The sequence below is a fragment of the Homo sapiens genome, chromosome 13 (assembly GCF_000001405.40).
Source record: "Homo sapiens chromosome 13, GRCh38.p14 Primary Assembly".
Lineage (NCBI taxonomy): Eukaryota > Metazoa > Chordata > Mammalia > Primates > Hominidae > Homo > Homo sapiens.
This window is the reverse complement of record NC_000013.11, coordinates 44,129,743-44,143,034: the sequence shown is the minus strand read 5'-3', so window position 1 is coordinate 44,143,034 and position 13,292 is coordinate 44,129,743. Positions and strand designations below refer to the sequence as shown.

Sequence of the window (13,292 nt, the reverse complement as noted above, 5' to 3'; positions counted from 1 at the left end):
TTTTAGCTAGATAGGTATTTAACGTCTCTGTAAAATGGGAATTATAATAGGATGTACCTTAGTGTTCACTGTAAAGATTAAGTGACTTAATGTATACAAGCACTTACAACAGTCTCTGGCAAATAGATGACAAAATATATATTATCCATAACAGATGTGGTGGAAATATTTATTATCTCTCTTAAGAGTGTTCCTCTGCAGTTTAGAACTCAGGGACCCCCTTGAAGATGCCCCTGGATCTCCCGAAGTCTCTGGACCTCTAAGAATCCCTAGTTTAGCAGAAAGAGTCCCAGACTAGAGGTCAGAAGACCTGGGAATGTTCATAGCCCCATACACACCATTAAGAGCCGACCACGGGCCAGTCCTCTTACTAGATTCTGCTGTCAGTTTACGAATTCTTCACCAGTTATGCAAGGTGGCTATCTTTTCCCCATTTCACAGACGAAATAAATTCAGAAGGGTTTAACGACGTAGTTAATGCTAGGAGCAGAAAACACGGGTCTGTCCGAGCCACTGTTAAGATCCTCCTTTAAAATCCCGCCACATGGTTCTGAGAGTCAATCTCTCTTATTTCTGTCGGCGTCAAACAGGAATATCACTACCTTGCCCACCTCACAGGGTGAGATTCCAACTAGAAAGTGTTTATGCAAGTCCGCCGTGGGTCGCGAAACGGCGGCTGCCGTCGGAACTGCGATGCCAAACACAGTAAACCTCAAGGACAAGCGAGCCGAGCCGAGCCGAGCCGAGCCGAGCCGAGCCGAGCCGAGCCGAGCCGAGCCGAGCCGAGCCGAGCCGAGCCGAGCCGAGCCGAGCCGAGCCGAGCCGAGCCGAGCCGAGCCGAGCCGAGCCGAGCCGAGCCGAGCCGAGCCGAGCCGAGCCGAGCCGAGCCGAGCCGAGCCGAGGAGGCTTGGGATCCCTCCTCCAGGCCCGAAGCCGGAGTCCGGCGCGCGGCTGAGTGGCAGGTGCACTAGCCAATAGAGCTGGGGGAGGCGGAGCGGGCGGGGCTGCCCTTTGGCCGCGCTCGGCCTTGTGGGAGAGCTAGTGGCTGCTGGCTTGTGCGCGCCGGTCTCATCGCTGCTGAGGGTCAGCAGAGAGCCGCGGCCTGTGGGGCGTTGTCTAATCCCAGAGCGCTGACTGCGGGCACCGAGAATCCTGGCGTTAGTCCAAGGGGCCTGGCGAAATCTCGTTAACGAGTACTGCAGGCTGTTGGTGAAGTCACGACGTAGTGCCAGTGGCCTCGTCCCGCTCTGCTCAAGGGACCCTCACAGGCTGTGGAATCCGGGCGTCGGGACCTCCGGGGACCTGGGCCTTCTGCTTCCACTCTCATTCCTGAATGTTAAAGGGGCAGGGCCGGACCGGTAACAAGGGAAGGCTGGAGAAATAGCAGGGACGGATTTTCCTCCCGGAAACACATTTGCAGGCCTCCTAGAAGGAAAAATCTAGAAACAGTGGGATTGGGGAAAGAACGACGTGGCGGTTCTCATGTCTTGATGGGATCCCCCTTTGCCCTTGGGACACCAACATCTCTCACCTGCTTTATCGTCATAATCTTCTGACTGGATTTCCTGCCCCAAGATTTGCCCATTCCTGTCAGGCCCACTCCAGCCCAGGGTGATTGCTGCCAAATGCTGCTGATCACTACATTCCCCAACTTAAATACCTTTACAGAGTTCCCCGTTGCCCTCGAGACAAAGGCCTGACACTGAACTTAGCTCTTGAGGCAATGGAGGTTCCGGCTTCCTGATTACTGTTCCAGCCCCATTTCTGACCACTTTCCACTCTGTTTCCCCCAGTCAGGGGTTTATGAGATTAATAAATGGATGAACAAGCTATTTCTAGAAATATCAGCAATATTATCAGAGTAAAAGGAACCATTATAATCTGAATGACGATGAAAACCTATTGTGCTCATGTATCACTTCAGATGGGGAAGTCAACTCTGTCCTGGAATCCAGGGAACCTGAATTCTTATGTTTGCTCAGCTACTAGATTTTTCGCATAATCTGCCACATGTTGCATCCAGTCTTTGTTCCTTAATTTATAAAATAGGGCCAGTGAAGGAATGTTTTCTATACTCATATCTTTATCTTTATGAGCTACTTCAAAGATAAATCCAACAGAACAGGGAGAAGCACTTTACACATTCAAAGTATTACTAATGTGTAACAAGATAGACGCCATGATACACACCATGAATTACCTTTAAAATCCTTTTCTGGGACACATAGAACTTGCACTTTATATATCATGTAAGACAGTGGTCCCCAACCTTTTTGGCACCAGGGACTGGTTTTATGGAAGACAGTTTTTCCACAGACCAGGGTGGAGGTGGGGAGAACGCTTTTGGGATGATTCAAGCACATTAGATTTATTGTGCCTTATTATTATTACATTGCAATATATAGTGAAATATACAGCGCACCATAATGAAGAATCAGTGGGAGCCCTGAGCTTGTTTTCCTGCAGCTACACGGTCCCAACTGGGGGTGATGGGAAGCAGTGAGAGATCATCAGGCATTATATTCTCCTAAGGAGCGTCCAACCTAGATCCCTGGCAGGTGCAGTTCACAATAGGGTTTGCACTCCTATGAGCATCTAACGCTGCTGCTGATCTGATGGGAGGCAGAGCTCAGGCGGCAATGCAAACAATGGGGAGTGGCTGTAAATACAGATGAAGCTTCGCTTGCTTGCCTGCTGCTCACCTGCTGTGCGGCTCAGTTCCTAATAGGCCATGGACTGGTACCAATAGGTGGCCTGAGGGTTGGGATCCCCTGATATATGATACCCGAGGTTTATCTTTATATCAGGCATGCATTTAAAACACCCCACAGATTTCTTTTCTTACGGCTGCATTTGAGGAGCAGCCTGGCTTATAAGCCTTGACTACTTCTGCTCACCACCTGTACTTTAAATAGAAGGAGCCATGGGGGCCTGGAGAGAAGATGTAGAAGAAGGTATTAGCTAAGGAACCCAGCTTGGATGAGGTTAAGATGGTTTTGACTTGAAACTTTAAGAATTAATGGCCACAGAGGAATTGGAATACCATGAAAAATATTAGAATGTGGAGTCATGGGCTGCTGTAGGTCCTTGCTCACACCACTGTCTTAAACACCTCATTTTCTCTACCTTCAGTGCCCTTTCCCAATCTGGGGTGCTTCTCTCCCTTTCTTCCCCCAACCTCCCAACATGCATACATTTTTCACTTAGCTAACCCTTGGGAGATATAATACATGTTGCATGAATGAATAAAGAAATGAAAAACTGATAGATGGATGAAATGGACACCATGGGCATGAAACCAGAAGATCTGAGTTCTTTCTTGGATCAGCACAACAACCTTGTGAAATAAGTGGGGCAAAAATTTATGGTGCCATTTTACAAGTGAGGAGACTGAGGTTCAGAAAGTTAAGTGACTTAGTTGAAGACACTTAACAAAGTGGCAGAACTGGCCCTTAACCCTTAGGATTTTTTTTTACTCCCACAACATCATAATTCTTGAAGGCAAGAAAGTCTTAATTTCCACATTTTCAACTGAAAACAAGCCTTCTTTAAAGAAAGGAATGTATACACACCTGTCTCCTTCAGCACCTCCCCACCTAGGCAAGTGATTGCAGAGGCAAGCCAGTATTCACAGGCTAATTTTACAGACAAGTCTAAATGGAAAGTAGCACCTGTTAGGAACATACTCAAGAAGAACTGGACCTCATGAAATTTCAGCCCACTTTTGTGCACTCTTCTAGTGGAAGACTTCTGCACAGTTCTCTGTGTATCAACAGAGTCTGGTTTCATGGCAGGGGAGGAACTGAAGGAGGAAAGAAAGAGAGAAATAATACAGCATATTTTTTCAGAACTATTTCTCCAGAAACACTGAATAATTCAAAGGGCAAGGGCAATTCAGTGATCAGAAGTGCAGCAGTGAATGAGCTCTAAAAAATAGAACCACTCTTTAGGTCTCCAAGGGACAAGATAAATGAGAAACTTTGGGCATGAAAATGTTGATGTGAGCTCATACGCCTCACCTTTTTTGCTTGCTGTGATTCACATCTGTTCCTATAGACTGAAGCTACACTTCCTAGGTTTTGAACCCTGGCTCTACCACAAGCTAGCTTTGTAATGATTCTTAACCTTAACTTTGCCTATTCCCATCTCATAAAATGGGGATAATAATAATTAATACCTCCCTTGTTGGATGTTGTGAGAATTAAATGAATTCATTGATATGAATTCCCTTAGATCAGTGTCTAGCACATTGTTAATGGTATTGTCACTATCTTCATTACAGCTGCCTCTTGGTAATTGAAACAGAGCATATACTTTTAAGATAGTTATTTTCAACGGGGTTTTTAAAAAGAGGGAAAGATTGGCCAGATCATCTGAGGTGCTTTTACACATTCTGGCTTTCCTCCCCCATTTTCCATTTCTACCCTCCTGGAAATTAAGATTGTTTAGGTCTGTGAGCTGGGTCTGGTGGCTCACATGTGTAATTCCAGCGACTTGGGAGGCTGAGGCTCTGAGAGGATCACTTGAAGACAGGAGTTTGAGACCAGCCTAGGCAACATAAAGAGACACCCATCTCTCAAAAAAAAATTTTTTTTTAAAGTTAACCAAGAGTAGTGACACATGCCTGCAATCCCACAATCCCAGCTATTCAGGAGGCAGAGGTAGAGGATTGCTTGAACCCAGGAGTTAAAGATTGCAGTGAGCCGTGAGCATGCCTCCGCACTCCAGCCTGGGCAACGGAATCAGACCCTAACTCTAAAAAAAAAAAAAAAAAGATGATAGGTCTGTGATGGGGCATGGGCATGTGTATTTAGAAAAGGCAAATATGGGCCGGGTGTGGTGGCTCACGCCTGTAATCCTAGCACTTTGGAAGGCCTGGGTGGGCAGATCACAAGGTCAGGAGATCGAGACCCTCCTGGCCATCATGGTGAAACTCCATCTCTACTAGTAATACAAAAATTAGCTGGGCGTGGTGGCATGTGCCTGTAATCCCAGCTACTCGGGAGGCTGAGACAGGAGAATCGCTTGAACCTGGGAGTTAGAGGTTGCAGTGAGCCAAGATCGCAATATTGCACTCCAGCCTGGTGACAAAGCAAGACTCTGTCTCAAAAAAAAAAAAAAAAAAAAGAAAAGAGAAAGAAAAGGCAAATCTGAAACGCTTTCTTTCATCTTACCCCTAAACCTAATATCCCACCAGAATCCCAACTTGAAGAGATTTCTCTGGAGACTAAGAGGTATTTTTACTTTATGAGGATTACCAGTGTAGTATAAGCTTGGGCAGGACACGCATATGTTGTAAAGTCCATCTGCCTGTCTAAGAAGAGCTGTATTGAAACCACCTCAACTTGTGATTCCAGTTTCCTTTTGCATTATGGATATGCTGATGAGATAATATCATCTCAAACTTAGAGATGATATTATCATGATGGCACTCTCTGGGGAAAGCCCTAGTAATTTAAAGTTTGATAATATGCTATTGTGTGTGTTACTCTGTAACTGACTTTTTTTCCCACTTAATAATCTATGTGGATATCTTTCTAGGTTCATGCATATAGATCTAACTCATTCTTTTTTATAGCTGCATGATATTCCATAGTAGATATTTCCCATGCTTTCTTCAAACACTTCTTATTGCTAGAAATGCAGATTGTTTCCTACCAGATTTTTTTAACCATGGGGTATCATGTTGTAATAAACATGCTTGAACATATTTTCCTGTGTACTAAGTCATGCTTTTCTTTTCCCTTAGGATGGAATCACCAAAAAGTATAATCATTAGGTCACTAGATGTGCACGTTGGCAATTTTCGAAAATATTGCCAGAGAGATTGAAATAATTCACCACTGCCCCTCCTCCAGCTTCTCCTGGGCATGCCACATACACTGTGGGAAGGGGAAAGGCTGACCTAGAACACCTTCAAGTGGATGCTACAGTGAGTATGACAAGACTATGATTCATGGTTTCTGAAGTGTTTTGGATTTTATGGGTCAGCTAAAACCTCATTTAATAACATGCTGTCTGCCCTTTGCTTAACATAACTGTATCCATGATGTGGCTGAATTAACCACCTACCATTTCACAGCCATAAGTATCAAGCCACCCTTCTTCCCTATTTCTAGTTTTGTATGATAACCTGCTTGAGGGAGAGAGGGAGTGGGCGGGAGTAGATGCTAAAAAAACTGCAGGGGTAGGAAAAGGAACTGTGGGAGGGGAATTCACGTACGCTGAACCCAAAGACCCTAGGAGAGATGACAGGGAGCAGGATAGAATCTATTTCCTTATGTCTCTCTCTGCTCAGAGACATTTTCAGCATAATAGCTGTTGACTTCTGTAACACCCTTCTGTAATCTTTTGCAAATCCAATGGACTCTGTGTTGTCACACTTCATCAGCTGTGTTATAATTTCCAATAACTAGCACACAACTGATGTCCTATCCCTGAAAAGCTGGCCCAAAATAAATGGCTCCAGGGGGCTTAATGATAAATCAGAGGCATTATGAATGGATTCTGAAAGTATTCTAAGTCAGGACAAATCCTCGCTAGAATCCAATTTGGCTGTTTCATTACCAGTTCTATCTCCCGCATGCAAAAAGATGATAAATAACATTGTAAAGATGTAGATGAGATTGGCTTTTGTGACCTAATGTTTCTGGTGAAGAGAGAAGTACACGTTGTTAAAACAGGAAAAATGCACAAAATCCACTGGCAACAGAATATTATAGCCTTCATTTTTGAATAGGAATCATTTGTGATTTTATTACCTCAGAAACAAAGACCTGGCTGCTTTTGCATTTTGTAGTGGTTTAATTAACCTTTAAGTGTGCACAGAGAGCTGGTACACCTACTCTACAAACTAAAAGCCACATGAGAAAAAAGTAGAAAGTTGCCAGATATTTCTTACCGACCCAGACTAAGATTCTGTAGGGGCATGTATCAGAGTAGTGAGAGCACAGTTTCCAGGACCAGGCTCTGCAGGATTCCAGCAAGTGAGTTAACCTCTCTGTGCCTCAGTTTCTTCATTTGGAAAACAGGCTAATAGTAATTTGGACACCATTTTTTTTAAGTGGCAATAAGAGCAACCAACAGATAACAAAATGGGAGAGGGTGTATGGACAAAGAGGGAAAATTTAAGAAATAAATCTACCCATAGTGATCATTAAGAACTGTTAGGATTTGGATATCATTTTAGTGGAATGAATGTCTATGTAGGATGCTGGAATTTACAGTATAGTGTAATCTTTCTGTTCGTGGTTTTTGGAGTTAGACAGACCTTAGTTTGAATCATTCCTCTGCCATTTAGTAGCTGTGTGACCTCAGTTTCTTCATTCACCTTATGAGAATGAAATGGAGGACTGTATGTCACACAGTACATACCCAGTACATTGCAAGGGTGCAAGGCATGGCAGTTATGACTATTATTGCATTTAAACTGTTTTGGCTACTATGTATTGACCCCTGTATCAGTTTCCTATTGCTGGTGTAACAAATTGCCACAACCTTGATGCCTTAGAACAACAGAAATGTATTCTCTCACAGTTATGGAGGCCAGAAATGTGAAATCAAAGTGTCAATAGAGCCACACTACTTGCAGAGGCTCTAGGGAAGAATCAGTCCCTTGCCTCTCCTAGCTTCTGCTGGAAGCGTTCCTTCCTGTTCTTTGGCTTGAGGCTGCATCACTCCAGTCTCTGTTTCTGCCTTCACATTGCTGTCTCCTTTGTGTGTTTAACTCCCCTCTGCCATTCTTTCATAAGGACACTTTTGATGGTATTTAGGGGCCACCCAGATAATTCAAGATTATCTTCTCATCTCAAGATTCTTAATTTAGATGTATCTGTGAAAACTTTACCATATAAAAGAATATTCACGGATTCTGAGGATTAGGGCCTGATATCTTTGGGGGCACCACTCAGCCCACTTCAACCCTTGCCAATGTGTCAGACTATGTGTCAGGCATGTCCAGGGATATCTCTCATTCCTAGCTGAGGAAGGGAGGAAACTGAAAGGAAAGCAACCATGATTTTATTTAACCAGAATGCTAAGAGTAAAAGACAATATTTGTCAGTAGAAAACAAAGTAGTGATTTGTTTCTGTGCTACTGGATCATCATCTCAAACATCAGCAATGACCCTACATAGGTGATAATAGCATAGAGGTGGAGACCTTGGATTCTGGACCTAGGTGGCCTGGGTCAACAAACCAGGTGTGCCTTGTATTAGGTGTAACTTTGGAAATGCTTGATTTCTCTACGCCTCAGTTTCTTTATCTGTAAAATGAGTTAGCACCTATCTCAATGGGTGGCTACGAGGACTAAATGGGGCCTAGTTCACAGTAAACACTATGTGAGTGTTAGCTGCTATCATACTTTTCTGTGCATACAGGTGGACAAAAGTCTGGGGACCAGGTTAAATACTTGCTACATTTCTGCAATAGAAATCTCCACTATCTGCTTCCATTCCTTTAATTTCATTAATTGCTTCTAAGAGCATTATGTAGACAACATTCTGCTTAATTAAGAATCATGGTGGCTGGGAGCAGTGGCCCATGCCTATAATCCCAGCACTTTGGGAGACTGAGGTGGGCAAGGAGGTCAGGAGTTCGAGACCAGCCTGGCCAACATGGTGAAACCCAATCTCTACTAAAATCACAAAAATTAGCCAGGCATGGTGGCGGGCACCTATAATCTCACCTACTCAGGAGGCTGAGGCGGGAGAATCACTTGAACCCAGGAGACAGAGGTTGCAATTAGCCAAGGTGCACTCCAGCCTGGGCCACAGAGCAAGACTCTGTCTCAAAAAAAAAGAAAAAAAAATCATGGTTATGAAATATCCATTAGTTGAGATTTCCTGTGTGATTATGCACACTAAGAGCGTGCACTACATGGGTAGATATATGAAAGGGCGGATACAACTTTGTAGGGACTGAAACTTATATAATATGGGGGCCCTCTTGATGAAAAGGAATACAAAATCACAAAAGCAAAATTAGATAGAAAAGTGAATATTAGCTGGGCACAGTGGCTCAGGGCTGTAGTCTCAGCTGCTCAGGAGGCTGAAACAGGAGGATTACTTGAGCCCCGGAGTTCAAGTTCAGCCTGGGCAACATAACAAGACCTCATCTCTTAAAGACAAACAAAAAAAGTGAACATTTACTTAGAATGAGAAGTGAAAGCATAACAAATCACTTGTTCAATGATTTGAAAGGCAAAAGGTCATGAAAGGCAAATGAAATGGAGATTCCAGGGGCTGGCCTGTGCATACGTCCATGGTGTAGGTGGTTAAGAGCAGCAGCTTCAGAGTGGTCTTGATGAGGTGGAGGACCTGATTCACACGTCTCTCCCAGACCAAAGTCAATAAAGTTAAATCCATTCATCAATAAAGGAGATTTGTTACATGTAAACTGCAGCAATTTCGTTTGTTTTCCTTTTTTTAAGACTTCATAGATATAAATATTTACAGATATGTCTGATCCTACATTCTAATTTGGGATCAGGAAAATACAGTTGTGTGTTTCCTGTTAATCATAACCTTCATCTAGAAAAGGATTCTTCTTCAGATCCTGGGTCTTACCTGGTTGGGGAAGGGAGCCTGGAAATGTGGGCCTGGGATATCAGGTCAAGATTACAGTGCCTTTACTGTACAGCACACTTTGTTTTGATCTTCTTCTCCTTCTCTCCCATCTCTCTCATGTGTGTGAGTTTTCAGATGTTGTATGGCTGACAGAGAAAGTATGTGTGTAAGAAGACATGTGGAGAGTCCTGACCCTGTGGGCTTCTCATGGTCTTCTGGGCAGTTTGGAAGAGCTAAAGCTATTCTTTTGAGAAAGCATTGTCCTGCTCAAGGACAGGGAAGGGTGCAAAGCCTATCTGTATCTTCCTCCCATTTCTTTTTCTCACTGTCTTCCTCACTTGTCCTTCTCTCCCTATACTGGAAGCCTACACAAATACTCACTAATTGAGATCTCTGAAAGATCCAAAAGCATGAATAGCTAAGGGTGGTAGAGTTTTGGCTACTGTAACAGGAAATGGGAAGTTCAATGTCGGGGGCCGTGGGATGGTCAGCTTCCGGGCACTTATCAAATGACTCAGGCTATGCCTGCCCACTCAGCTTACTCACAAGGCCACTACTGCTTTTGGCAACAAGCTGACCCCTGTATTGGGCGGTGCAGCTGGCCAGCTCTGCCAGGCCCAGTGAGAGTGACATGCCCACGCCAGCCTGTTCACACTTCCTCCTCAGCCAGAAACTGTGGTGCGTAGAAGAGTGTTGTAGATTCCAGTGTAGGACATCATAGAACTAGTGCTTCCTGAAGCCAGGGTTCATCTAAATGGATCAGGGAGGTGCAGAAAGGTAGGAACAAAACTGACATCAGCCCCATGATGGCAAATGAGACCCGATTCTGCTGAGTGACTCAGAGTTTCATCTTGTTAACAAATATATGTAGCAGCCATTTATTCAAGTATTCATTCAATAAACAACTCAACATATGCCAGGCACTTTGCTGGTGCAAAAGATATAAAGTTCACATGTTCATTTATAAAACATATGAATATATCAGAAATAATACAGTATAATGTGATAAATTCTGTAATGAAAGATAAATAAAACTTTAAGTAAGCCAAAAAATAGCAAAGATTAATTATGTGTATCTGTATGTGTGTGTGGGTTCTCATTCAAACCAGGGAAATGTGATTTTTTGTTTCTTAAGGACCTCAGTGTCTCCTGCCAGTACAGCCCCTTTCCCGGTAAGAACCAGCTTTCCCCTCCCACCTTGCCATCAGGGCCACCTTCTTCTAGTGCATTTTGAATGAAAGGGGGTCATCTTACACCCACTCCTGAGGTGAAGTGGCCTGTGCTCCAGCCTTTCCTCCATGACCGCCTCTTCTTAGTGACCACTCACAGCTCCTGCAGTTACTGTCCTATCCCTCCTTCCCCTCACCAGACAGCATCTCATGTCTTTTCTTCCCCAAATATCCCCCCACACAAAGCTGCCATATGTAAAGACTTATGGGAGGGCTGAGGTTATGGAAGGGGTCACAAGATGATGCAGAAGGAAAACTATTTAGAATAAAAAATCAAATGCCACCGTTCTTTAAAATGCCATAGCTATCCTCACCTCAATAAATATCTCACAGTCCTTCTTGAGCCCCTCACCTGCCACATGCACATGACCCTCGTGTCTCTCACCAGAGACCACTGTTTGTTCCCAGCGATGCAGTCCCTGTGGTGTCTCTTTGTTTCCCTGAAGAAAACTCAAAATTCCCATTACTTCATTCAGCAAAAGTTCAATAATTCTGTGTCCCAGCCTCTCCGGGTCAGACTCAGACCTCGTGTGCATAAATCATGGCCACACCTTGATGTCTTTTCCTTTGAGAAGCTTCTCCCCTAGATGCAGAACAGCAGCTGTCCTTTTGTTGTTGATGATGTTAAAGCATTTTGTTTTCATTGTTGTACACATGAGAGGTAGAATGAAATTAGTCTGTAGACCAGAGTCTCCTATGGAGTCCCCCATAACCAAGGAGGTGTGGGGAATGATGCAGAGCCCAGGGAAGGCAGGGTCCAGAGACGGATGACTGCTTGGGTTAAAGTTTTGCCTGTGAGTCAGGGAATGTGTTCTGACAGTCTTCTTGAATCCTACCACTCTTAAGTAACATGGATTTGATGTTTTCTTTTTTACTTCAAACCTGTGGTTCTAAGCCATGAAAGGATCCAAGGGCTACCGCAACACGGCAGTCTCCCAGTGTGATGTGGATGGCAGATGCTTATGTACATCCCACCTCCTCGCCCACATGGCTTCATCTGTTTGCCAACTCAGCATGGCCAAGTAACCTGTTCACAGTGCTTCAGATAATTCAGAATGAGAATAAGCCAAAGGGGAAAAAAAGCAAAGAAAAACTTTCTTTTGTGTCAATGACCTAGGCAATGTCGGGATTTTTTTTTTCAACTTAGATCATCCAGAATTTGGACTTGGGTCTTTTTGAATCGCTTCTAGGGATTTTTTTTTTTCTCCTGTTTTGGGAGATCATTCTAGCCCATTTGAAGGGCTGTGATTTCAGCACCAGCTGGGTTCCCTATCTTGGTTAGGTGTCCACTCTTTCCTTTATGGCTGACAGTTGTCCCCTTCCCCAGCACACGGCAGGAAGGGGCTCTCCTCTGAGGCCACTGTCAGGTCTGGGCATGTTAGCTCCCTGGCTGCCTGCCTGGCAGACATTACTGCCACACAGGGCCAGGGGGACACTGGGTTGAGTGGGCAAGAATGCTGGTGGTGGTAGCACCTGGGCTGCAGTTCACCATCTGGGACAGAACAGTGAGATGGAGCAGCCATGAGCAGATGGAGGGTGCACATCCATGGAGACTCAGTATGTGTCAAATACAGCCTCGTAAGGAAAGGGCACAGGCAGACACCGAAAGCAAGAAGGTTGTCACTTACAAGCTTTAAGAATCCAGAGGGAATTCTACCATGGAGAAATGAATGCAAAGAAAGACGCCTAAACGAAAAGAGGCAATGAATCCAAAGCTGAGACCAATAGGCAGCAAACAACTTGCAACTCAAAGCCACCAGCCTTGCCTTCCAGCCCTCCCTGATCTCCCCTTTTCCTGAACATGTATCACATTTTCCATCTTTATCACTTGTCTTGGCATTTACATCATACCCTATCTGACATTGTTTCCCAACTCTGGTCTCATGTGTATCCATTATGTCTTCATAGCTTAACTATGAACTCTTGGAGGGTGAGAGCATGCGTGACAACTGGCAAAAGGTATGGAGAAAACCAGTTTTTAAAACTCATATGCTTACTATATGAGAAATGATACAATTTAGCCATTGCGTTGTAAGTTGAACTAAATTGAGTAATAGTTATCATAAAAAGCAAATTGGCGCTATAAAAAACTATTCTCCACCTAATTTTTTGGTCCAAAATTATTTTTAAGGTTTTTATAGGAAAAAGTTTTAAACATAAGCTAAAGCAGAGGGAACAGTATAACTAGCCCCTATATAAGCATTATCTAGAGTCCAGAAATTTTAATTGAATTTTTCACCACTTTTGCTTCATTCATCCCCTTTTTAACCCAGAGGCATTTAAAAAAAACTCTAATTATAAAACCCAGATATGTTATTTACCCCTGTATACTTCAGCATGCATCTTTTAAAAATGTGGACATTTTCTTTAATAACCATAATGCTTTCATCCACTTAATGAGCATCAACTTAATATTAACAGTAGTTCCTGGGTATCATCTGAACTTGTCAATTGTCCAGAACATCACTGAAAAGAAGTCCTGTTACTCAGCCCTGTC

At 43.8% G+C, this 13,292-nt stretch overlaps 2 long non-coding RNA genes across 3 annotated transcripts in view, besides 3 other annotated features; one reads left to right on the top strand and one right to left on the bottom strand.

The window, feature by feature from the left end:
• The window catches only part of LINC00390 (long intergenic non-protein coding RNA 390), a 41,645-nt gene that overhangs the window by 4,701 nt on the left and 23,652 nt on the right, over positions 1-13,292 (top strand). Inside the window, exon 2 of the long non-coding RNA NR_132368.1 lies at positions 5,750-5,932. This is a non-coding gene — a long non-coding RNA (long intergenic non-protein coding RNA 390). The remainder of the gene's footprint in view (positions 1-5,749; positions 5,933-13,292) is intronic.
• Positions 1-13,292, bottom strand: part of SMIM2-AS1 (SMIM2 antisense RNA 1) — a 43,531-nt gene that overhangs the window by 11,045 nt on the left and 19,194 nt on the right. Inside the window, exon 1 of one of the 2 annotated variants that reach the window (NR_104064.1) lies at positions 339-707. The exons of the other annotated variant lie outside the window; for it this stretch is intronic. This is a non-coding gene — a long non-coding RNA (SMIM2 antisense RNA 1). Of the gene's footprint in view, positions 1-338; positions 708-13,292 lie in introns of those variants that run through there. 2 annotated transcript variants of the gene reach the window in all.
• Positions 794-943: a silencer, noted in NCBI's record as "silent region_5304". NCBI's record gives its function as "represses an Ori minimal core promoter by ATAC-STARR-seq in GM12878 lymphoblastoid cells {active_cell/tissue: GM12878}" and the evidence as "EXISTENCE:reporter gene assay evidence [ECO:0000049][PMID:35858748]".
• Positions 970-1,929: an enhancer, noted in NCBI's record as "NANOG-H3K27ac-H3K4me1 hESC enhancer chr13:44715242-44716201 (GRCh37/hg19 assembly coordinates)". NCBI's record gives its function as "activates a minimal SCP1, AML or CMV promoter by ChIP-STARR-seq in primed H9 embryonic stem cells {active_cell/tissue: H9 hESC(primed)}" and the evidence as "EXISTENCE:reporter gene assay evidence [ECO:0000049][PMID:30033119]".
• Positions 1,094-1,303: an enhancer, noted in NCBI's record as "active region_7671". NCBI's record gives its function as "activates an Ori minimal core promoter by ATAC-STARR-seq in GM12878 lymphoblastoid cells {active_cell/tissue: GM12878}" and the evidence as "EXISTENCE:reporter gene assay evidence [ECO:0000049][PMID:35858748]".